Genomic DNA, 25,492 nt, shown 5'->3' with positions numbered 1-25,492 from the left:
ATATTATCTGTATTGTTAAACTTAAGCAGCCTACTATTTCAGAAAACGTTAAATCATATCTACTTTCAGAATAAATTAAATCATAAACCATAGTCTATATGACATAGTTAATATATTAAACCAAGTGTTCTCAGAGAACACTCGTTGTCAAACTGGATGGCAAGCTATTAGTGGGTGAAGATATATTATTCCTTGTAACCAACATTTTTTTAAAATAAAATACAATAGAATATAAAAATATCAAAGGGCATGCCTTAGTTAAGTTTTCTTACTGGAAAGAGTGAAAGCTACTGGCATTGACTGATAGAAAAGTTTATTGTTTTATAACCACTAGAGGGCAGTCATTACATTAGTTTTAAAAAAGGCCAACTAACAGCTTAATACAAGTTGACCTAGTTTTACAACTGATTATGATAGACATAAAATTACATTTAAAAAGATTGTCGGGCTGTTAATGTACTGTTATTTGAGGACCTATTACATGGCACACATTGAGTTAGGGAGACATTGATGAATAAGACATGTTCTAGAATGCAGTGAGAAGGTAAGTGTGATATTACAAGGCAGTTATGCATGTCATTTGGGCTTATGTTTGCCTTTCCAGCCTCATATCCTGCCACTCCCCAACTTGCAACCTGAACTGCAATCATGCTGAGCTACTTGTAGTCACCTTGAACATACTGTTCTGTCTTCCTGGAATATTTTTTGTGTCCCTCTCTGCCTGGTGAACCGCAACTTATACTTTAAGCCCCAATATCCTGACTTTCCCAGACAGAAAAAAATATGTGCTTTCTCCACTTGACTCCTTTAGGGTCAAGTTCAGCCCTATTACAGTTGATTACTTATGTCTCATTCCCCCAGGAAACTGAACTACTGGAGGGCAGGGAATATATCATTCATTTTTTTTTTTTTTTTTTTTCTGTAGCTGGGGTATAGTGCCTGGCACATAGACAGTGCTTAACATAAATATTTAGTCAATAAGCAAATAGAAGTGCTATAAAGAGATACTGTAATGAATTTCTTTCTTACATAATCTCTCTATTGATCTTCTACCCTCTCATTTTGTATATGCCACTAACGTAGCAGCTATTCAACCGCCAAAGCAAACCAAAGACAGACTGACTTATTGATGGTGAGGGAGGGTTAGGCTTTATTGAATATGAAAGGCAAAGGGAATTTTGGAGGATAATTTAGGTTTCCCTAGTTATTTTCCCCATGATGACTTGCAAGATTATATTTACTTTAGGAATACAATAGCTAAGACTAAATAACCTTTATTTTTCCATCCCTTCCTTACTTTCGCAATATTTACTTGGCCAAGTAGGTAAAGTGGTTTTGTTTGCCATTTGGCTAGCAGCTAATGATGCTGACACCTTTGGTATTAAGAAGACAGGGTGCCAGCCGGGTGCGGTGGCTCACACCTGTAATCCCAGCACTTAGGGAGGCCAAGGCAGACAGATCACCTGAGGACAGGAGTTCGAGACCGGCCTGGCCAACATGGTGAAACCCCATCTCTACTAAAAATATAAAATTAGCCAGGTGTGGTGGTGAATGCCTGTAATCCTAGCTACTATGGAGGCTGAGGCAGGAGAATTGCTTGAAACCGGCAGGTGGAGGTTGCAGTGAGCCAAGATCGCAGCATTGCACTCCAGCCTGGGAGACAAGAGTGAAATGCTGTCTCAAAAAAATAAAAAAAAAAGACAGAGTTCCTAGTACATTCCACTGGTAGGCTATAAAAGCTTAAAAGATTTAAAGTTTCAGTATGTTCTAAGTGCTCATGTGGCGAATTAAACAATTCTCCACCCAATTGGTATATGCATTTGTTTATAAAAGGTTTCGTTATATGTTCACCTTAGTCATGTTTGTAAAAAGTTGAAAAAATATTTTTAGCTAATTCTAAATCTTGTAAATAAGCCTATACTCATAATCATCTGGAAAATTCTTCTCTGAAAAGAAACCTTGGCTGGGCGCAGTGGCTCATGCCTGTAATCCTAGCTCTTTGGGAGGCCGAGGTGGGTGGATCACTTGAGGTGAGGAGTTTGAGACCAGCCTGGCCAACGTAGTGAAACCCCGTCTCTACTAAAAATACAAAAATTAGCCAGACATGGTGATGGGTGCCTGTAATTCCAGCTACTCGGAAGGCTGAGGCAGGAGAATCACTTGAACTTGGGCGGTGGAGGTTGCAGTGAGCCGAGAAGGTGCCCCTGCACTCCAGCCTGGATGACAGAGCGAGACTCTGTCTCCAAAAAAAAAGCTGGTTGTACATGGTAGAGGTTAAGTCAGTTCTAAAGACAGATAGACTTTGGTTTGATTCCTGGATATATCTTTCCCCACCTTTGCAACTTTGGGCACATTACTTAACCTTGCAACACCTCAATTCTCTTATTTGAATATGGACATAATAATAATGCTTCATGGGGTTCCTAGGAGGATTAGATGAAATCCTGCATATAAAGAGCTTTGCACAAGACTTGGCATATTAAAAGCTTTCAACAAACATTAGCTGTTGTTATAGGAAAAGGTCTTTATTGCAAGATAAAATCTTTTTTTTCTTGGCATGTAGACATTTTTCCATTTCAAATAATCAGCTCTTAATGGTTTTTTTTCTTCTACTGTGGCAATAAAAAGGAGTATTTTTGTCATTTTGATAAGACATATACCATAAGCAAATGAGTGCTTGTGACTGTAAAAACCTTGGTGGTGAAGCCTCCCCTGTGGGATGCTGCAGCCCAGGGACAACTGTATGGACCTCAAAAAGTCTCCCACACTGTTTCCCCATTGATAGGGTTTGGCTCTGTGTCCCCACCCACATCTCATGTTGAATTGTAATCCCCAGTGCTGGAGGTGGGGCCTAGGGGGAGGTGATTGGATCACGGAGGCAGTTTCTCATGGTTTAACACCACCCTCCATTGGCGCTGTCTTCACGATAGTGAGTTGTCATGACATCTGGTTGTTTAAAAGTGTGTGGCACCTTTGTCCTCTCTCTCCTGCTCCTGCTCCTACCACGAAAGATGTGCCTGCTTCCCCTTTGCCTTCTGCCATGATTGAAAGTTCCCTGAGGCCTCCCCAGAAGCTGAGCAGATGGGAGCATCATGCTTCCTGTGCAGCCTGTGGAAACACGAGCCAGTTAAACCTTTTTTCTTTATAAATTACCCAGTTTCAGGTATTTCCTTATAGCAGTGCAAGAACAAACGAATCCACCCATCTAGCCACAGAGTTCGTAATCTTTACAGCCACTGCAGAGGCAATAGGAAATATTGCTGCAGTATCAAGCACCTTGAGGATCTTTTACTACTTTGATGAGATGGAAATTTCTCTTCTTCAGTATCATTGATATTGGGCTTGGAATGTGGCTTTGAAACAGACTGTCTAAATTATTAACTTCTGTGGGCAAGAACATTGCTCTGTATGATCCATATCAAGTGACATATATATATATATATATATATATATATATATATATATATATATATGTAAGTGCTTAATACATTAAAAACTATTCAATGTATGTTTTAATGTTTTCTATAATTACAGTGATAATTGTTCCAAACTCCAAATTGGGACATTTAGTATAACAAAAGATTTTAAACATTTTGAGAATTTAAAACATTTTAACTTGTTATTTTGAAATAACTTTAGATTTACAGAAGAGTTGCCATAATGACACAAAGGGTTTCTGTGTACCTATTACCCAGCTTTTTCTAATGTTAACATCCTACATAACCAGGTACAGTTATCAAGACTAAGAAATGAATATTTGTATATAACACTATTAACAAATGACAGACTTTATTAGAATTCTACCATTCTTTTTAAAATGAATATCCTTATTCTGTTTCAGGGTCCAATCAAAGATGTTATGAAACATTTTGTGGTCATGTTCTTTTGTCTCCTCAGACCTGTGACAATCTCTGTCTTTCCTTCTCTTTCATAACCTTGACATGTTTGGAAAGTCCCTCAGTTTGAGTTTGTGTGATGTTTTTCTCTTGATTAAATTGAGGTTATGAAGTTCTGGGAAGAACACAGCAGAGGTGATATAATCTTCTCAGTGCATCATATCACATTATATCAGGAGGTACAACATGATATTGACATGTCTTTTTATTAGTAATTTTAACCTTGATCATTTGGTTCAGGTGATATCAGCTAGGTTTCTGTACTGTAAAATTACTTTTTTCCCCTCTTTGCAATTAATACATATTTTATGGGAGATACTTTGAGGCTCCCTAAATACCCTGTTTCTTCTTACAGTTTTTAACAAATGTTGGCAGTCATTTGTGGATCTTGCTTGCAACAATTAATTGTGGTTTTCTAATGGTGATCTTTATATTTCTCTAATTTCTTCTACATTTATTAATTGGAGTTCTACTGTGAAGAAGAGTCATTCCTTCTTCCTCATCTATTTATGCACTCATTTATTCATATCAGTATAGGCAGGTGTAATTTGTTCAAATTGTTTACACTTACCTTCTCAAATTGTAACAGCTTTGACATGGGGAGCTCTGTCAGGTTGGCTCCTGTGTCTTTTTGGAATGTCCCCATTTTATTTATTTATTTATTTACTTATGTATTTTGAGACGGAGCTTTGCTCTTGTTGCCCAGGCCAGGGCAACCTGGCTCCTGTGTCTTTTTGGAATGTCCTCATTTTATTTATTTATTTATTTATTTATTTATTTATTTATTTATTTAGAGACAGAGCTTTGCTCTTGTTGCCTAGGCCGGAGTACAATGGCACCATCTCAGCTCACCGCAACCTCCGCCTCCTGGGTTCAAGCGATTCTCCTGCCTCAGCCTCCCGAGTAGCTGGGATAATAGACTCCTGCCACCACGTCTGGCTAAGTTTTTCTATTTTTAGTAGAGATGGGGTTTCTCCATGTTGGTCAGGCTGGTCTCAAACTCCCGACCTCAGGTGATCTGCCCGCCTCGGCCTCCCAAAGTGTTGGGATTACAGGCGTGAGCCACCTGCACCCAGCCCACTTTTATTTATATTTAATTTAGTATAACCTTACTCTGTATCTTGTATTTTGCCTGCCCTAGCCCTGGATTCAATCACTTCTCTAAAAGCCCTGGATCCTTTTATTAGAGAATGGTATTTAGAAACCAAGATCTGGGTGTGAAGTCTTTTGTGTGTCAGATACTGTCAGCAAAGACATATATATATATATATATATATATATATATACACACACATATATGTACTAACCTATGTAGACACACATATCTATATTTCTGTATCCATGTATCTGTATCTATATTTTTAAAATTATGAATTTACACTCATATGTTGTTTTTAAAATTTTAAAAATTATTTGTTTAGAGACAGGGTCTCACTTTGTTGCCCAGGTTGGAGTGCTGTGGTGCAGTCATGGCTCACTGCAGCCTTGAACTTCTGGGCTCAAGTGATCCTCCTGCCTCAGTCTCCCAAGTAGCTAGGACTACAGGTACATGCCACCATGCCTGGCTATTTTATTTCAATTTTTATAGAGACTGGATCTTGCTATGTTGCACAAGTTTGTTTCAAATTTTGGCCTCAAGCAATCCTCCTCCCTCGGCCTCCCAAAATGTTGGGGTTATAGGCGTGAACCATCGTGCCTGGCCTTGGTACCTTATTTTTGAGAGCCCCCAGCTAAATTGGGGTTCCAATATCAGAGTAGCTAGCAACCCTACCCCAACAGGATATGAAGGGGAGATGGATGTGGGTGTTTACAGTGTGCCTTTCATGGGATACTTCTTTTACCTGGAGGATGGCCTAAGTCCTAGTTGCCTGACCTGACTGGGGGTCCCTCACATGGGAAACTTGTTTATACTGGCAGATGCCCTTGTGGCTCTTGTCTGATCCATGTCCAGTTTATGCCTGCCTGACCATCACTTTGGCACTGGGAGTTCAACCTTGTGCTCTCCCTGGTGTCCCCTGGTTCTTCAGATGGAAAGCACAAATTCAGTACATCACCACAATAGGAAATAAGTTCAAAGATTTTCACTTACAGATCCTGGGCAAGGAGGGCATAATGAGTCAGGAGGGCAGTCCTCTGTCCCCAGGTCATATGAGGCAGAAAGGAAGAGCCAGAGAGAAAGTGTGTCTAGCAGCATGTCTAAGGGAATGGAGTGTGGGCCACTTTAATAGGCAAATGTCTAAATGGTCCATTTAAAGAGAGGCAGGAAAGCAGGGAGTGCAGTCCGCAAGGCAGGAGAGATCCCTCTAAGTTCTTGTCACTGGCCACCAGCTTGAGCCATCTGGGTGTAATGTAGAACTGGAAATTGTGCCAAAGATGACTGAGCCCTGCTTTGGTATGAGAAAGTTAAACTTGTATTCAAAATGGATGCTGAGCAACATAAAATTGTAAGAATTCTCTATATATCTCCGACATCAATCCAGCACCAAAAGTTTTATTCTAATATTCCCCCTTTCTGGGAAAGGCAAAATAATAGAAACAAAATCCAGATCAGTGGTTGCTCAGGGCTGTATGAAGGAATTTTTGGCATGATAGGGCTGTTCTGCATGGTACAGTAGTGATGGGTATACAATGCTATGCATATGTCAACACCTACACAATTCTACAAAGAGTGAATTTACTGTATGCAAATAGGAAAAACATCCAGGATGTTGGAAGAATCCAACATGGGATACAGATTGTGACAAATGAATCTAAACTGTATTAAAATTATTCACTTGGTAAACTATCACTCCTGCAATCCTAGCGACTCAGGAGGCTGAGATGGGAAGGTGGTTTGAGGCCAGGGTTCCAGTGTAGCCTGGGCAACACAGTGAGATCCTATCTCCAAACAAAAAAAAAAAAAAAAAAAAAAAAAGAAAAGAAAAAGAAAAAAAGCTAGGCATTGCCATGCATGCCTTTAGTCCCAGATACTGGGGAGACTGAGGTAGGAGGATCTCTTGAGCCCAGGAGTTCGAGGCTGCAGTGAGCTATGAGTATGCCACTGCACTCCAGCCTGGGTGATAAAGTGAGACCCCCAACTCTTAAAAAACAAAACAAAAACCCACCACAGTGAAGGGGGTAGAGAAGAAGGAACTGGCTTTAGTGACTTTGGAAAACAGTGTGTTGACTGAATAAGTAAGATTGGGGATGAAAAGAATGATAAAAATGCTGTACTTTAGTTAGAAATCTGTTTCTCCTAGGTATGTGGATTAGCAATTCTGAAGCAAATTTTCATGTATACTAGAGTTAAATTAGTGCCTGTATTGTGGCTAATGAGTGTCAGGTTTCTCAATGTCAAAGAAAATACAAACAAACATTTTGGGAATTTTTATATTAAAAATTTACAGTTATAAAAACCAAATCACATTTAGTTATATATTTAATGAATCATTTTTATTGCAAAGGGTAAATTACATGAAATTGACAAAATTTAGTCCATGTAATATCTATCAAAATACATACATGTAAGTGTGTGTATATTTATATATGTATACAGTACAGTTTTCACAAAAAGCTTCAACATTCCTAAGAAACACAGACATAGTCATTCTGGTACAATATGGATTTAAAATAAGTTCATGGTAATCCTTCCTGATGCCAATTTTAAAATGAAGACCGTCTAAATTTTTCTGACCAGTTATTAGTTGCCCTGCCTCTCGGAAATGTGTTTAAACTTTTCTTTCAATTATTTGATACCTTTTGCCCAAGAGATTACTATCTCTCTCTTTTTTTTTTTTCTTTTAAGACAGAGTGTTGCTCTGTCACTCAGGTTGGAGTGCAGTGGCACAATTCCTGATCACTGCAACCTCTGCCTCCCAGGCTCAAACGATCCTCCCACCTCAGCCTCCCCAGTAGCTGGGACCACAGGCACATACCACCAAGCTTGGCTGTTTTCTTTTCTTTTTGTATTTTTAGTAGAGTTGGGCTCTTGCCATATTACCCAGGCTGGTCTTGAATTCCTGAGCTCAAATGATCCACCTGCCTCGGCCTCCCAAAGTTCTGGGATTACAGGTATGAGCCAGCATGTCCGGCCTGAGATTACTCTCTCTTATAAGAAGTTTCATAAGTTTTTCCACTGAGGAAAGTGATGCTTGTTTGATTTCCTCTAAATTTACTTCTTCACATTCGAAAGGAGACTCTTTTCTTCCTTAGAACTTGAAGATTCAGTGTGAAAGGGCATTTTTCTTTCTTATATTATTAAAAAAGTTACTTTTTAAAAAGTAACATTTTTATTTTTATTTTATTTATTCATTTTTGTGAGACGGAGTCTTGCTCTGTTGCCAGGCTGGTGCAGTGGTGCAATCTCAGCTCACTGCAACCTCTACCTCCTGGGTTCAAACGATTCTCCTGCCTCAGCCTCCTAGTAGCTGGGAGTAGAGGTGCGTGCCACCATGCCCAGCTATTTTTGTATTTTTAGTAGAGACAGGGTTTCACCATGTTGGCCAGGATGGTCTTGATCTCTTGACCTCATGATCTGCCTGCCTTGGCCTCCCAAAGTGCTGAGATTACAGGCATAAGCTACCGTGCACAGCCAACATTTTTATATTTTATATAGAGATGGGGTCTTGCTACATTGCCCAGGCTGGTCTCAAACTCCTGGGCTCAAGCAGTCCTCCTGCCTTGGCCTCCAAAGTGCTAGAATTACATGCATGAGCCACTGTGTCTGGCCAAAAATGTTAGTTTTCACGTTTATAGCATGCAAAGTGTTATTCTCTTCCACTTTAATTCACAAAGGCTCTTTATGTCTTCCCACTTTTATCACTCTTAATGAACCCACCCTGTATCTACTAAAATTCTGGAGGAGTCATGGGCAGAATTACAGAAGAATTCTGGTCATATGACAGTTTCATAAAAGGACAATATCATAATGTGCAAGTTCTAGTAAAATGCAAATCTTATCTTGTTTCACCAGCTTACTATTTAGGCTTTTTTTTTTTTTTTTTTTGGCCTATTCTGACTTTGGATCTTAACTATTTTCAACTATCTTTTTGCTTGTAGAGGCATTCTTTGGTTCCTAAGAGGTATTAAAGTGAGGGATTACTAACGGTGAAGCTACTTTGGCATGCAGGATGCTGCTGTGTACATATATACTAGTGTATATGAATATAAACCCTTGTCTTTTTTTTTTTTAATAAAAGTGAGTTTTCATCTGAGGTGCTTGGAATGATTCACAAACAACTTGGCACACTCTTCTGGCCTGTTTACCCCCATTGAAATGTTATTTTATAAATTACATCTTAATTCACAGAATTTTTTCTTGATAGTATAAGAAATTCTCAAATATTTTCTATAGGGGCACACAACTTTCTATTTAAATGTCTAAGAACTAAATTTTCTGTCGCCTTCCGAAATCCTATTCTTAAAATTAAAAATATAGGAAAGCACAAATGTTTCCTTCATTAGGTCAATTTTTTCACTAATTTCTTCATTTAAAAAGTGAATTCTTTTCCTGTTTTTCCTCATTTCATCCAATAGTTTCCATTTCTACTAACATGGTGTGGCAGAAAGAACATGGGTTTTGGAACTAGATAAACCTGAGTTTGAATTTTGATTCTGTCACTGTAGGTAGCTATGTGGCCTTGGCTCAGTTTCTCATCTCTAAAGTGGAGACAAAAATACCCATGGTTTGGGTGGCTGGTCAGATTAAATAAAAAATATATGCACAAAATTTGGTACATGGTAGGCATTCAACATGTTAATGCATTTCTCACTACATCAAGTGTTTCAAAACTAATTCTATGGAGGAACCAAAATTTAGTAGTGTTATTAATAAAAGGCCACATGTTTTCTTAAAACTCTTAATTTCTAATTTTGATTCATCACTTTTTTTTTTTTTTTTTTGAGGCTGGGTCTCACACTGTCACCCAGGCTGGTGTGCAGTGGCGAAACACAGCTCACTGCAGCCTCAACCTCCCAGGTTGAAGTAATCCTCCTGGGCTCAAGTAATCCTCCCGCCTCAGCACCCCAAGTAGCTGGGACTACAGGTGCATGCCACCATGCCTGGTTAATTTTTGTATTTTTTGTAGAGACAGGGTTGCCCAGGCTGGTCACGAACTCCTGAGCTCAAGCCATCTGTCTACCTCGGCCTGCAAAGTGCTGGGATTACAGGCATAAGCCAACGGCCCTGGCTTGATTCATGGCATTTTAATGAAAAATTTCATGTTTTTTCGGTATGCCAAAGTGCCATGTATGAAATATGAAATTTGGAAGAATCGATGTAATTGTACAGCCATAGGAAGGCCTCCCTTCACCATACAAAAAGGTAACCTTTGCTCTATTGCTGCCACCAAGGGCCATTTTGTGGGATGTGGTAACTTTAAGAATATTTATTACAATTAAAAAAATCAAAATATGCCATACTTCATAAACATCTTATCAGTAAGTTAGAGGTTTAATAAAGAGGTTCAATAAACAGAAATTTTATTTAACATATATTTCAACATGAAATCTATAAATTGCAAAGGAGCACTGTGAATTCTTTGGAAAAACGTTTGTTTGCTCTACTCACAAGCTTCATCCTTGTGGCATGTATTCAGAGCTAGGTTATGTCCTGCTTTTTGTTTAGGCAGGCATAATGTCTTTCATGGTATTCTCAGAACTCTGTTAAACTTCACTGCTTTGTTAAATGTCACTGCTCTGTTAAACTTCACTGCTCACAAAATCTGAGTTAGGACAAATGTTCATGGGGGTTGTTGCTCACATGTTTTCCTATGGCTGGTTTTCACAAAACGGTATGCATCTAGTCCTAGGGAAGTACATGAAAGGTCTTCTTAGACGGATTCTGCTGGAATTATCTCTTGTCTCTGCAGCTGCTGGTTCTATCTTCTCTCTTCTCCTGGAAATCAGAAAGAAGAAACAAGCATGCAAACACATGCCAAAACACTGCAGCTACAAACTAGGCTGACATGTCAAATAGTGGCATATTCAACACATCCTGACATCATTCTCCCAGGTAATGAGTTTAAGATTGCAGAGGACTTTATAGATTATTTACCTCAACCCTTACATTATGTTCATCAGTACCTTTCTACTCTAAAAGGTAAAATTCCCACTTTGAAAATGTGCAGTTTTACAATATCATTAAAAATTCAGGTTTCAGGCTGGGCACAGTGGCTAACGCCTGTAATCCCAGCACTTTGGGAGGCCGAGGCAGGCGGATCACGAAGTCGGGAGTTCGAGACCTGCCTGGCCAACATGGTAAAACCCTGTCTCTACTGAAAATACAAAAATTAGCTGTGTGTGCTGGCACGTGCCTGTAATCCCAGCTGCTCGGGAGGCTGAGGCAGGAGAATCCCTTGAACCTGGGAGGCGGAGGTTGCAGTAAGCTGAGATTGCTCCACTGTACTCCAGCCTGGGTGACAGAGCAAGACTCCGTCTCAAAAATAAATAAATAAATAAAAATTCAGGGTTCAAAGTGAAATGATAAATTCTAATTTATTTGAACCTGCATTTAAAGCTCTTTATTTAAAATTTTCTTCTAGATAAATTCTGGGTACCAATAAAACTCTATAGTGTTGTATAGCAGAAATGGGAGTTCTTGGGGGTGAGCTTGTGAAAACAATGTCCGACGGAACTAATGATGAAAGGGCCTGGAACCCACATAGTTAGGCACGCCAGAAGGAAACCTATGGGAACATTAGCCCCTGCTTCCCTCTCCAGTTTTTTCTCTCCCTCTTCATCCTGAATCTGTTTCATTTAGTCCTTGGAAGTTCCTTTCTCCTTTTCAGTCTCTGAAATAATATTCATTTGGCTAACTCTGAAGCTTTTTTCAGAACTCAGAATGTTGTTCATTTCCCATATGTTCATATGCCTGTGAAGTTAGTGCTTTTTACACTGATTTATAAGAGACCGCTTATTTTTATGTTTCCTCTATCAGACCGTATCCATCAGGAAAACAAAGCCATTATAAGAATTATGGGACTAAGGTACTTATCACAGGAATTACATTTTACCAAATATAGGAGCTGGGAAAATGAGGGTCTGGAAAAGGAAAATTGAAGGATCAGAGTATATGGGGCAAGGGATAAAAATGTAGCCTGCTCTACTGTGGCGTGCCAGTCAGGATCAGAGAAAGGATGACTGAGCAGGCTGTTTGAAGCACTGGTGTGGGTAAACAAATTGAAGCTTGCAGGGAAATCTGATAATCCAAGCATGCCCAAGCTGCTGAAGTGGAACTATGAAGGGGGAGCTTGCTGGGGAAATCTATGGAAACTGCCGAATGTGGAACGACTCTGCTTTTCTGAAGCTACTGTCTTCAGGTCTGCAGCCCAGTGCCTGGTGGTCGGCCTAGGGCTGCTGTTGGTCAGCAGGGCCTGTAGTCATGAAGATGCTATAGAGTGGAGAGGAGTGAGCTGCTGGGCACCTTTGTATTTGTCCATCACTGACTAACCATGATGATCTTCTAACAATAATGGCTTCTGACCACTTCTGCCTTCTTCTTTTGTGGCCAAAATTTCTAACTGAGAAATGTGAATCCTAGCCTTAGCAAAGTTGGCTATTTTGTGCTCATGATGTATTTTTAGAATGTAGCAAAGTTTCTGGCACATAGACGGTACTTAATATTTAATAAACGGAAGAAGAAATGGAAGACCACTTATACAATGCAAATGAGAAGCAAAGCAAAATTTGTCAGAGACATGAAAGTATTTCATAAATCTCTTTCTTGACTATAATAGTTAATTCAACATTTATGTAGTACTGCTGTTTTATTGATAGATTGGTGACTAAGAGAAGTCCAGCAAAAGAAGAATTTGTCAGTGTATGTCCAGTACTGTCAATGGGAGAGGGTACTTGGACTGACTACTTCACTGGCTTTCCTCATCAGTGCAGGCTACACTTTGATCCCCTTCCCCACGAACTCCCAGATGGACAAAGGACAGGGGACCAGGAAGGGTAGGTGACTTTCTTGTTTGTCATCACTGTTTCTAGACCAGTGTTTCTCATCCTTCGCTTCCCATTTGAATTCTTCAGAGAGCTTAAAAATATCTAAATGCCCAAGCTGCCCTCAGGTATGACCCAGGCATCAGTATTTTTTAAAGCTCTCCATGTGATTCCAATGTGTATCCATGTTCATGTTTCTATGTGAAGTTAGTGCTTCACATAGAACTAACTTGTGTTTCAAAGTTAGTTAGCAGCATTGGTATTACCTAGTCTCATCCCAGACCTACTACATTAGAAAATGTATTTACCAAGATCTGTAGGTGGTACAAAGTACACTAAAGTTTGAAAAGTGCTGTTCCAGATCATTTTTACCAGAACCCAGTGCCAAGGCAAAAAATAAAAAAAAAGATTCAGTAATGTCTAGTTTTAACACTGCATGTTCTCACTCGTAAGTGGGAGTTGAACAATGAGAACACATGGACACAGGGAGGGGAACATCACACGCCAGGGCCTGTCGGGGGTGGAGGGCTAGGGGAGAGATAGCATTAGGGGAAATACCTAATGTAGATGATGGGTTGATGGGTGCAGCAAACCACCACGGGACATGTATACCTATGTAACAAACCTGCATGTTCTGCACATGTATCCCAGAACTTAAAGTATAATTAAAAAAAAAAAAAACTCTCAAGACACAGAAAAGATATGGATACTTACCGATGTACACTTCTTAGCAGTTTTTCAATTAGGATACACATCTAAAGTTATTTGAAGATTGGTACACTAATACCTGTTTCTGCTCCCATGACTGATGAAAATACTCTGAATATAAAAATGTTTATATTCTGTAGATAGCCCAGAAATAATGTTGTACTCCTATAACCATCTGATCTTCAACAAGGTTGACAGAAACAAGCAATGGGGAACGGATTCCCCATTCAATTAATTGTGCTGGGATAACTGGATAGCCATGTGCAGAAGATTGAAGCTGGACCCCTTCCTTATACCATACACAAAAACATCAACTCAAGATGGATTAAAGACTTAAATGAAACCTAAAACTATAAAAACCCTGGAGGATAACCTAGGAAACACCATCCTGGACATAGGCCTTGGTAAAGATTTCATGATGAAGACATCAAAAGCAATTGCAACAAAAGCAAACATTGACAAATGGAACCTAGCTAAACTAAAGAGCTTCTGCACAGCAAAGTAAACTATCAACAGAGTAGACAGACAACCTACAGAATGGGAGACAATATTTGCAAACTATGCATCTGACAAAGTTCTAACATCCAGAATCTTTTTAAAAAATCTTTTTGAGATAGAGTTTCACTCTTGTTGCCCAGGCTGGAGTGCAATGGTGCAATCTTGGCTCACTGCAACCTTTGCCTCTCAGTTTCAAGCGATTCTCCTGCCTCAGCCTCCTGAGTAGTTGGGACTACAGGTGCACACCACCACGCCTGGCTAGTTTTTTGTATTTTTAGTAGAGACAGGGTTTCACCATGTTGGCCAGGCTGGTCTCGAACTACTGACCTCAGGTGACCAGCCAGCCTCGGCCTCCCAAAGTCCTGGGATTACAGGCATGAGCCACCATGCCTGGCCTAATATCAAGAATCTATAAGGAACCTAAAATGAATTAACAAGCAAGAAACAACCCCATTAAAAAGTGGGCAAAGAACATGAACAGACATTTTTCAAAAGAAGACACACATGTGACCAAGAAGCATATGAAAAAAAGCTCAACATCACTAATCATTTGAAAAATGCAAATCAAAACCACAATGAGATAACATCTTACACCAGTTAGAATGGCTATTATTAAAAAGTCAAAAAATAGCAGATACTGGTGAGGCTGTGGAGAAAAGGGAATGCTTATACACTGCTGGTGGGAATGCAAATTAATTTAGTCATTGTGGAAAGCAGTGTGGCAATTTCTTAAAGAACTTAAAACAGAAGTACCATTCAACCCAGCAATCCCATTATCGGGTATATACCCTGAAGGAATGCAAATCATTCTATCATAAAGACATGCAGGGGTATGTTCATTGTAAGCACTATTCACAAAGACACGGAATCAACCTAAATGCCCATCAATGGTAGACTGGATAGAGAAAATGTGGTACATATACACCATGGAATACTATGCAGCCATAAAAAAGACCAAGATCATGTCCTTTGCAGCAACATGGATAGAGCTGGAGGCCACAATCCTAAGTAAACTAATACAGGAACAGGAAGCCAAATACCACACGTTCTCACTTAGAAGTGGGAGCTAAACATTGAGTACACATGAACACAAAGACGGGAACAACAGACACTGGGGCCCACTTGAGGCCATGGAGGGTGGGAGGAAGGAGAGGATTGAAAAACTACCTATCAGGTACTCTGCTTATTACCTGGGCAATGAAATAATCTGTCCATCAAACCCCTGCGATACACAATTTACTTATTTAACAAACCTGCACATGTACCCCTGAACCTAAACGTTAAAAAAACTTCATATTCTGACCTTTAAGGATTTTTTTAAATGACAGGATATTTGCATAATTCTAATGAACAGTCTTATAATAAAAAGCCAGTTGAGGAGAAAACCTCTATAAACCAATCCCAAGAAATATTAATATTAATACGGGGTTCTTACCTGTATTGATGTGTACATAAAATCAGAAGTTTCCTAAAACAAGAAAAAAAGAGCTTCTTCAAATACTTACCAGAAGTGGTATTATTTGTAAAGTATTTTTGATGGATGGGTTTTTGCAAATGGATTCTTGTATATCTGAAATAATTATATCACAATACCAAAATAATTTAGTTACATATATAGAAATAGAAGAATGACTAAAGAATCAAATATTAAATTCTGATGTATCAAAATATTCAAAATTGAGTAAGACACTTTTTTCCAGTCACCCCCAGAAATAGTCTTTATACTTATATTAGGTCCAAAAGTGGAAGTAATTTGATTAGAAATAATTACATAAAGCTTATGTTGATAAAAGATAATTCCTAGTACTTTGACTATTATATAACGATCTTCATTCAAATATTACGTTTTCTTTCTTTCTCTTTTTTTAATAAAAAAATATTAATTTCATCCTTGGAGCCTCTCAGAAAAAAAGAGATGTTTATTTAGTTATTGAGGCATAAAAAATTGAGTCACTTGGTTGCCTTTTCAATTTTTAGATTTTTGTCTATATAATAGCAAGCATCTGAGCAAAAGAAAAATAATTCAGGCAGAATCTTTTACATGAAGCATTTAAATATGTAGAAGTATCAAACAAAAATTTAAAAAATTCTTCAATTATTGACTTAATTTTTTTATTCTTTACCTGCATAATTTTACATCTTAAACTCATAGCCTTAGTTCATGATTGTAGCTCCCTGCTTTTTATTTTTTTTTAAAAATAGTTTTAATTTTAAAATACAGAGTATATAAAACATATGCATATTTTAATGAATACTTATAAAGCTAATGTCTGTGGAACCACCTAGATTAAGAAATTTGAACATTATCACTACCTTGGAAGCTTCCTGTCACTTCTTGCCTCCACAATGCCCTATGGATTTCATTTCCTTCCTTCACCCAAAGAGGTAACTAACCCACTACACTGCTTTGTTTCTTTGTGATTTTAGCACATATTAATTGCAAGGATGCAAAATAATATTGTTTAGGTTTATCTGTTTTTAGACTTCATATAAATAGAATTGTACTGTCTTTATTCTCCTGTGATTTACGTTTTTTGCCCCAAATTATGTATTTTTAGATCCATCAATGATGATGTGTGTAGCTGTAGTTAATTTTCTTTTTGTTTTTTCTCTTACTGTTCCAGTTTGGAAAATTTCTATTGACCTATATTCAAATTCACTGATTCCTCAGTGGTGTCTTGAGTCTAATGATGAACACATATAAAACATTTTCCATTTCTGTTACTTTTCTTTCTCACATATCTGTCTCTTAAGAGTTTTCATTTCTCTGCTGAAATTCTCCATCTGTTCATGCATGTTGTCTATCTCTCTCATGTTGTTCATCTTTCCCACCATAACCTTTAACATATTAGTCATAGTTATTTAAATTACTGTCTGATAGTTCCAACATCTTGGTCATCTTTGCATCTTATTCATTGATTGCTTTGTCCCTTGATAGTGTTTTTTTTCTCTTGTTCTTTTTGTATGTCTCATAATTTTTGACGAATGCTGGATATGATTTTTGGAATACTAGAAACTGAGGTAGATAGTATTTGTGTCTTGAAATGAGTATATCCACTTCTGCTAGGTCACTGGAGTGTATGTGTGTGTAGGTGTGTGTAGTGTGTATGTGTAGATGTTTAAAAACTTAGTAGGGAATTTGAGCTGTTTGTTTATTTATTTATTTATTTTGAGACAGGGTCTCCCTCCGTTGCCCAAGGAGGAGTGCAGTGTTATGATCATGGCTCATTGCAGCCTTGACCTCCCTGGGCTCAGGTTATCCTCCCACCTCAGCCTCTGGAGTAGCTGGGACCACAGGTATGTGCCACCATGCCTGACTAATTTTTTTTTGAATTTTTTGTAGAGACAGGGTTTCACCATGTTGCCCAGCTGGTCTCAAACTCCTGGGCTCAAGTGATCTGCCTGCCTCAGCCTCCCTGAGTGGGTTTGGGTTTTGTTGTTGCTGTAGCCGACAACAGTAATTACTAACATTACTAATTTCAAATTCCATTGGTGTTATTCTGTACTTATTCAGGGGTCTTGGAGAGTCCCCCCACCCCCTGAAATGTTCCTGTTCTGCCCCCATGTTTTGGCCTTCCTGCATGTGCGCACAGTAGAAGGGATCTCTCTTTATGCTCTTGCCTGTCTCTCAGTAGTAGATTTCTATTATTTGTTACTTGGTACTTGCTGATCTGGTGGTGGGGAAGTACGGTAATTTTTCTGTTGTCCTGGTCCAGGCTCAGTCTTAAGCAGACCCTGTGTGGCCTCTCTTTCTCCTGCTCCTCCTTCCCATGACAGTTAACTTTGCCTTCTATCTTTGGCAGGTTTTGTACAAGAGAATTTTAGACCCTCCCACCAACAGTAGGATACCTCTAATGGTTTTGGCCCGGGAATGTGTCTTGCTCCTCTTCCAGGGGTAGAGGCTTTTTTCCTTTACTGTTTCACTAGCCCCAGTAAGTCTTCACCTGTGCCTTGAGAGCAATCAAGAAGGTACGCTGCCTCTGTCCCAGATGGCCTTTATTCTGCAGGGGGAAATGTTCTGTATGGGGGGCGCTTCATGCCTTTCCTACAGCAGTGGCTGCTGCCTTTTGTCAGGCCTGCACTACTGAGGAAGGGTTTCTCTTGTCTCCTGCTCTGCCTCCTATTTGCCTCATGAACACACACTCAGTGTAGATCCACGGAGAAGAATCTGAGTAGGTGTGAGGTTCCCTTGTGCCTATGGCTCCCAGTGGTTCTACATCCTCATAGTAGTCCACATTCATCTTTTAGCAATCTGTTGAAAATTTAAACAATTTCTAATATCAGCTTGTATGGAACCTGACATTTCCCTCTCTCATATTCTCCCATGGGTGAGAAAGTGTTCACAACCTGTCTCTCTTTAGATGTTTCTGTGTTTCCTTTTTGTTTTTGAGATGGAGTCTCACTCTGTCGCCCAGGCTGGAGTGCAGTGGCGCGATCTCGGCTCACTGCAAGCTCTGACTCCCGGGTTCATGCCATTCTCCTGCCTCAGCCTCCCTAGTAGCTGGGGCTACAGGCACCCACCACCACGCCCGGCTAATTTGTTTGTATTTTTAATAGAGACGGGGTTTCACCGAGTTAGTCAGGATGGTCTCAATCTCCTGGCCTCGTGATCCGCCCGCCTCGGCCTCCCAAAGTGCTGGGATTACAGGCGTGAGGCACCGCGCCCGGCCTGTTTCTGTGTTTCCTTGGATGCTAGGCTGCTTGGTTGTGATGTGACCTCAGCTCTCTAATTGGCTCAAGAAAAGTTATACTTTTGTCACTTATCTTTTATTGTTCTTAGAATGGGATTGATGCATTCTGGCCTTCTACATTTTAGGCGGAAATAGAATCCACACACACAAAATATATACGTATAATATGTGTGTGGTTCTGAACCATAGGTGATTTTTGCCACCCGGGGGATATTTGGTAATGTCTGGGAGCACTTCATTGTCATGATAGGGAAGTGCTGTGGCATCTAGTGGGTAAAGGCCAGGGATGCTGCTAAACATGTTACGATGCACTAGACAGTCCCCCACAATAAAAATTATCCAGCTCAAAATGTCAACGGTGTTAAGGTAGAGAAAATCTGATAGATACATAAAATATTTCTATTATTGTTCATATATAAATAATTAGAAATTCCTATTATTTTTTTTCTTCAGAATCATGATTTATTTAGAAATGTGTTTCTTAATGGCTATCTTTTGGTTAGTAGATTTCAGGTAAATTGCATTGTGGTTAGAGGATATGGTCTGTGTGACTCTGATCCTTTGAAATGTGTTAAGGCTTGTTTCATGGTCTTATACATGGTTCATTTTATAAAGGTTGTACGTTTACTTACAAAGAACGTGCCCCTTTGATCAGGTTTGTTAATCATAGTCAATTTTTATACATCTATTTGATTTTTAAAATCTATTCTATCAATTACTGACAATGGTATGTTAAAATCACCCACCGTGGTTAAAAATATTTTATATATTTGAGGCTATGTTCTCAAGTGCATATAAAAATCTTATGTATTTCTTCTGAAGTAAGACTTTGCTCATCATAAGTGCTCATCATAAAGTGACATATATATATATATATACATATACATATATTTGCTGTTAACAAAGTCTCTTCGTTTTTGTCTGAACATATTTTTAATTCACCCCCCTTCTTGAGAGACATTTTCATGTTAAGAAGGTATTAAATTTGAAAGTTACTTTCTCTCAGCACATTGGACATGTTGTCAATATCTCCTGATTTTTTTTCATTGTTTTCTGCCTTTTTGTTGCTGATTAACATTCATTGTGGATGTATCTTAGTGGTCATTTCTTTTTATTTACTCTGAAATGTGTTGGGTTGTTGAATCTGTAGATTGGCATTGTTCATCAAATTGGAAAAGTTGTCAACCGTTATCACTTTAGATATTGTCTTAGCCTTTCAGACCTTTTTATTTACTCTTTTGTGTCTTTTAAGCTCTATATCATATTTTCCATCTCTTTGTCTCTCTAAGATATACTGTGGATAAATTTCTTTGATTCATAATCTAGTTTACTAATTCTCTGTTCAGACGTCTGTAATCTGGTGGTTAAACCACCTACTAAATTTTACATTTCAATTATTATATTTTCAATTTCCAGGCATTCTATTTGGGCCATTTTTCAAATCTGTTTGCTCTTTCTTTATAGTTTCTTATTCCCTGCATGTTTAAGTTTAAAAATGACTGCATTTCTGCATTTTAAAGCTTATTTCTGACAACTTTAGAGCATACAAGCATAGTTATTTATAGTTTGTGCCTGGTAATTTCATTATCTGAATCCTTTCTGGGTCTGTTTATTCTGTTTTGTGGATTCTTTTGATTTTTTTTCTTGGTGCCTTTTTTCATTACGGATTAAGTTATTTACTTTTTTTTTAATTGTAGGCTGCTCATTTTCCTTGGATTTCACTTGTGATAATTCTTTGAGGACTGGAATATAGGTGCAGAAGATACATAAATGTACTTTTCCCAAGTGTTTTGGAATACTACCAGTTTGGGATCATTCTAAATTAAGTTCTTTGCTTGAGATCTTAAGAACTATTCAGTTAATGTGAGTATGGGCTGTAAATTAGTGTGATACTTGTATTAGACTGTGATTCTACATTCTCAGGGATCATTTTTCCTCTATCACCTGCTCAATACTGAAGTTTAAAAAATGCAAGCCTTTTTTTTTTTTTTAGAAAAAAATTCCCTCTCCCTGCGCTGCCTCCTCTGTGTATGCATGTGTAGTGCACAGCTCTTCGGGTGGCCCAGCTTTATGGTGGAAAGATCTTCTGTGAGACTACTCATCCTGAGTAGGCCTGTTCCCTTTTTCCTATGAGGCCATGGAAAGCAAAGTTCAATTTCACCCCATGAGTTAAATATCCTCAGGACAAGAGCTAGCTGCTGCACTCTCCTTATCTTTTTGAGTTCTTATCTACATTTAGTTATTGGTCTTAAGAATGTCTTACATTCTTACTAGCTCATCACTATATTGCAGGTTTAAAAAATACTTAATCAAGGATTTATGGTTGTTTTGATGGATGGTCAGTATAGATATGTAGCCTGTCCATTGCTGAAACAGAAGTCTATTCATATATTCTGAAAAGACAGATAAGTCTGCCAAAGAAGTTGACATCATCATAAATGATATGGCATACTTGAAATAGTATTCAAATATAGTCTGAATGGTTATGCACTCAGGTAGTTGGTAATATGGATATATTTTGTATTTTTCTTTTCAATTTTTAAATTAAAGTTTAAATTAAAATTGTCTAAGTATAAATGCAGTATTTCTTATAAAAGGTGTTCTTCCATACTTACAATGTAGTCTTTCACTGAGATCATTAAGGGACTCTAGGATCTTCTGTTCTTCAGCTGACAGTGTGCAGATGTTGAATTGTTGAGTTTTATTTAAAGGTAGATTTGATTTCTGTATCTGTTTGCTATTCAAGACAGTCAGAATCTCATCCTCCGGCACTGATGCTTTCACTAAGTTTTCAGCCATCAAAAACTCAGAAGTACTATCTGAAACTACAGAAACTTACATCAGTTATTCTTTGAACCCCTTTTGTCTTTGAGATCAGCCCTTATATATACTTACATATACTTATACATGCTTAACTGTCTGTATGTATTCATATTACAAGCAGAAACCTAGCAAATATCTGCTACTTTGATTTCATTTATCAGGATCCTCTATCTAGCATTTTCCTATCCTTCGTTTTTTAAAAAAGGATATTCAAAATGACGGCAGTGAGTTAATAAAAATTCCCAGAGTATTACTTGAACTAAAGAAAAAAACTATATAATGCAGATAGTTTTTGTCATGTTTGTTATTCATTGGTAGTACAAAAAAGATGAAGAAGACTGTCTTTATAATAGTAGTTATAATGAATTATAACAAAGTAAGACCAAAAAACCCTTAAGATTAGAAACTTTGATGATCAGCTAAACAGAACTGACAGCCTAGAAACAGACCCAATTAGATATAAGAACATGTGATCAAAGAAGCATCAAATATTTGACAGAAGGGAAAGATGATTTTACATATTAGTTTTTGCTTATAAAAGAATCAATTTGGGCTGGGTGCAGTGGCTCATGCCTCTAATCCCAGCACCTTGGAAGGCTGAGGCAGGTGAATCACTTGAGGTCAGGAGTTCAAGACCAGCATGGCCAACATGGTGAAACCTCGTCTGTACTAAAAATACAAAAATTAGCCAGGTGTTATTGTGGGTGCTTATAATCCCAGCTACTTGGGAGGCTCAGGCAGGAGAATCACTTGAACCCAGGAGGTGGAGGTTGCAGTGAGCTGAGATTGTGCTACTGTGCTCCAGCCTGGAGCTCTGTCTCAAAAAAAAAAAAAAAAAAAAGAAATCAATTCAGAGTTTTACTTCCCACTGTTTGTTTAAACAAATTCGTAAGAAATTAAAGACAAACTTAAGGAATCAACCCATTAATTAAAGCAGAAGAAAATGAAACAAATGTTTCTAAATGTCTGTATTGGGAAGGTTCTTTGACAAAGCTTAAAAGTAATGGAGACATCAGTAAGAAAAGACTAAATAAAACATGTTTATTTAAAGCCAGTCTTCCCTAATAGACTTTACACTTCTGAAGAGCAACACTTTTGTATATTTTTTTCATTATTGTAAATGTTAAGTATTCCTTGTCCAAAATGCTTGGGACTAGATATGTTTCAGGTTTTGGACTTTTTTAGAATTTTGGATATTTGCATACACATGAGATATGTTGGTGATGAGACCTAGGTTTAAACATGAAACTCAGCTGGATGCGGTGGCTCATGCCTGTAATCCCAGCATTTTGGGAGGCCGAAGTGGGTGGATCACCTGAGGTCAGGAGTTCAAGACCAGCCTGGCCAACATGGTGAAGCCTCATCTCAACTAAAAATACAAAAATTACCCAGGTATGGTGGCATACGCCTGTCATCCCAGCTACTTGGGAGGCTGATGCAGGAGAATTGCTTGAACTTGAGAGGCGGAGGTTGCAATGAACCAAGATTGCACCATTGCACTTCAGCCTAGGTGACAGAGTGAGACTCTGCTTAAAAAAAAAAAAAAAGAAACTCATTTATGTTTCATATATACCTTATACACATACCTGAAGGTAATTTTATATAATATTTTAAATAATTTTGTCCATGAAATGAAGTTGGTGTATATTGAACCATCAGAAAGCAAAGATATCACTGTATCAGCAACCTATGTGGATTATCTGTGGTTGTTTGGTATCACTGTTATTCCTGACTCCAAATTTATATCTACTGAAAAGCAATAATGTTCTTACACCTATTCACACGTAAGTACTTAACAGTAAAAAATAAGATGTATCCTTCACACTGTCAGAAAATAATGTGTTCAGGGCAACTAAGCACCACAGTAACATCACCAGAATACCTGTGTCGGCTGTTCAACAACAGCAACAAGGAACAATGGCAGGCTTCCAATCTTAGGTATTATGTTACATTTTGACCAGATGGTTACTGTACACTGTATTTTATTTTTTTAGGTGAGAAGAAACATCAGAAGCAGCTGAGGCACAAGGAAGTGGGTCCTCTAGGGATGAGGAAATATTCTGCTAGATGACCTTAAAAAATGTTTCTTCCAGAGACTTTTGCCTCATTTACAATGTCTTTTTTTGTCCTATAAGCCTCTCTTTGATTTTATAAACTGACATAATTTCTTGTTGTTATGAGTGTACACTGCTCTAGTCGTTCAATAAACCCATCACACATTTTCATCATATTGTCAATTGGCACCTTTTTCTTTTTCAGTGTTAACAATGCCATTATCATCACTATTATCACAATCATCTTAATTCAGAGCTCTTTTGGCTATTTCATCATTGGTCAATGAAAACACCTGGAGTCTTATTATCGATGTTAATAACCTCTTTGATATCCACTTCTTCCAGCTTACTGATAGACTCTGAAGGTATATTTTTTTGCTTACGTAATGAGGTCAGACATAATTTTTTCTCACTTGACATACAGAATCCTTCAGTCACTACCTTGTTCATCATCACTGAACATAGTTGCAGGCCAGAGGTTGTGCCAGGAATGCACAATTGTGTCTTTAGTCCCTGTGTTCCAAGTGTTTGCAACAGCATGTATGGCATCTTTCATGCTAAACTCGTTTTGAAAACCTTCTACATCCACATCTCTGTTCACTGTTGCTGGCATGCTGTTCAAGAAAGTGTTTATATGTATTTACTCTTCATCTACCTAACGATAGTCTGGTCACACAGCTGAATTAATGAAGTAATATTTGGGGGAAAGCACGTGGCATAAAGATTATTTTTGATGAGAATTTCAGCTGGAGGATGAAAAGAACAGTTGTCAAAGAATAACAAAATCTTGCAGTCATCATTCAATCCAGCTTCCCTGATATAAAGTGTTTGTGAAACCAATCAGAAAAGATGTCCCTGGTGATCCATGTCCTTTTGTTAGCACATTAATGGACTGGTAAGAAATTCACTCCTTGAAATCAGTGAGGACACAAGCTTTTGCCTATCATAGCAAATTTACACTTGGGCGTGACTGAGTCATTAGCACATCCTAGCAGTTATTCTGTTATTCTTAATTCTTGTAGGGGCTGTCTCATCAGCTATAGTCAATGTTTTTTTGAGTAACAACACCAAACCAGTGATGTTCATCAGTAACATATACTTCTTCTGGTGTCAGATATTCATCAGCGATGACCTTGGCAAACTCTTCAATGAATTTCTCTGCTGCTTTGTAATCAGCAGACGCTTGATCACCACAAATCTTTAAAAATAATGCTGTGTCTTAAATTTCTATAACCAGCCTGTTGAATATTCATGGTTCTCTTCAATTTTCAGTTCATCATGATAGATCTTTGCTTGTTTCATGATCAGCATACCATTAAGTGGCATGTGCTCATGCGACGCTGATGGATCCACTCTTTGACTTCATGGTTGAAATCCTATGCAGTGTTTAATGTTTTGCATTAACTTCTGTTCATCTCTTCCAAAGCAGAACTTCAACAGTTTATCCTTCTGTTTCTTCAGGTCATATATTGTGGTCATTCCAACACCATCCTTTTCTATAAGACATTTTACACTTAGGTTGCTGGTGTAGTTTCTCCAAGTTTGACTTTCTGGGCTATTGATAAACAGAAATGTTTCCTCTTTTTCTTATCACTGCTACCCACAGGGGTATCTTCAGGTCTTTTTGATATTTTCAACAATATCTTTACATCACAAAGCAGAGAAAAAGCAAAAAAATACAGTGAGTAATGCATGTAGGTCTTGGCCCCATGTGGGGTCTCGTGGGGAATCTGCCATTGGTACATGTATCATTTTATTACTCCTTGTGAGCATGCTTACATGGGGGAATCTGGGTGTGCATGGGAAAGATATAGTGCAGCTGAAGAGGGCTGAGAGGATCTTTTTTCCCCTTGGGGATGCTAAATAAACTGTATGGTATGAGCTTGTGTTTTAGCTGTGACCC

General features: G+C 38.3%; 1 protein-coding gene across 2 annotated transcripts in view; it reads right to left on the bottom strand.

Moving 5' to 3' along the window:
* Window positions 1–7,306: 7,306 nt before the first annotated feature.
* CEP126 (centrosomal protein 126) overlaps window positions 7,307–25,492 on the bottom strand; it is an 86,053-nt gene continuing 67,867 nt past the window's right edge. For both annotated transcript variants that reach the window (NM_001363543.2, NM_020802.4), the window contains 3 exons: window positions 21,328–21,537; window positions 15,527–15,591; window positions 7,307–10,770 (listed from right to left, as the gene is read on the bottom strand). In NM_001363543.2, coding sequence (NP_001350472.1) covers window positions 10,726–10,770; window positions 15,527–15,591; window positions 21,328–21,537 — 320 coding nt within the window. In that variant the 3' untranslated portion in view covers window positions 7,307–10,725. The remainder of the gene's footprint in view (window positions 10,771–15,526; window positions 15,592–21,327; window positions 21,538–25,492) is intronic.

Source organism: Homo sapiens, chromosome 11 (genome assembly GCF_000001405.40).
Source record: "Homo sapiens chromosome 11, GRCh38.p14 Primary Assembly".
Lineage (NCBI taxonomy): Eukaryota > Metazoa > Chordata > Mammalia > Primates > Hominidae > Homo > Homo sapiens.
This window is presented reverse-complemented; position numbering and strand designations above follow the sequence as displayed.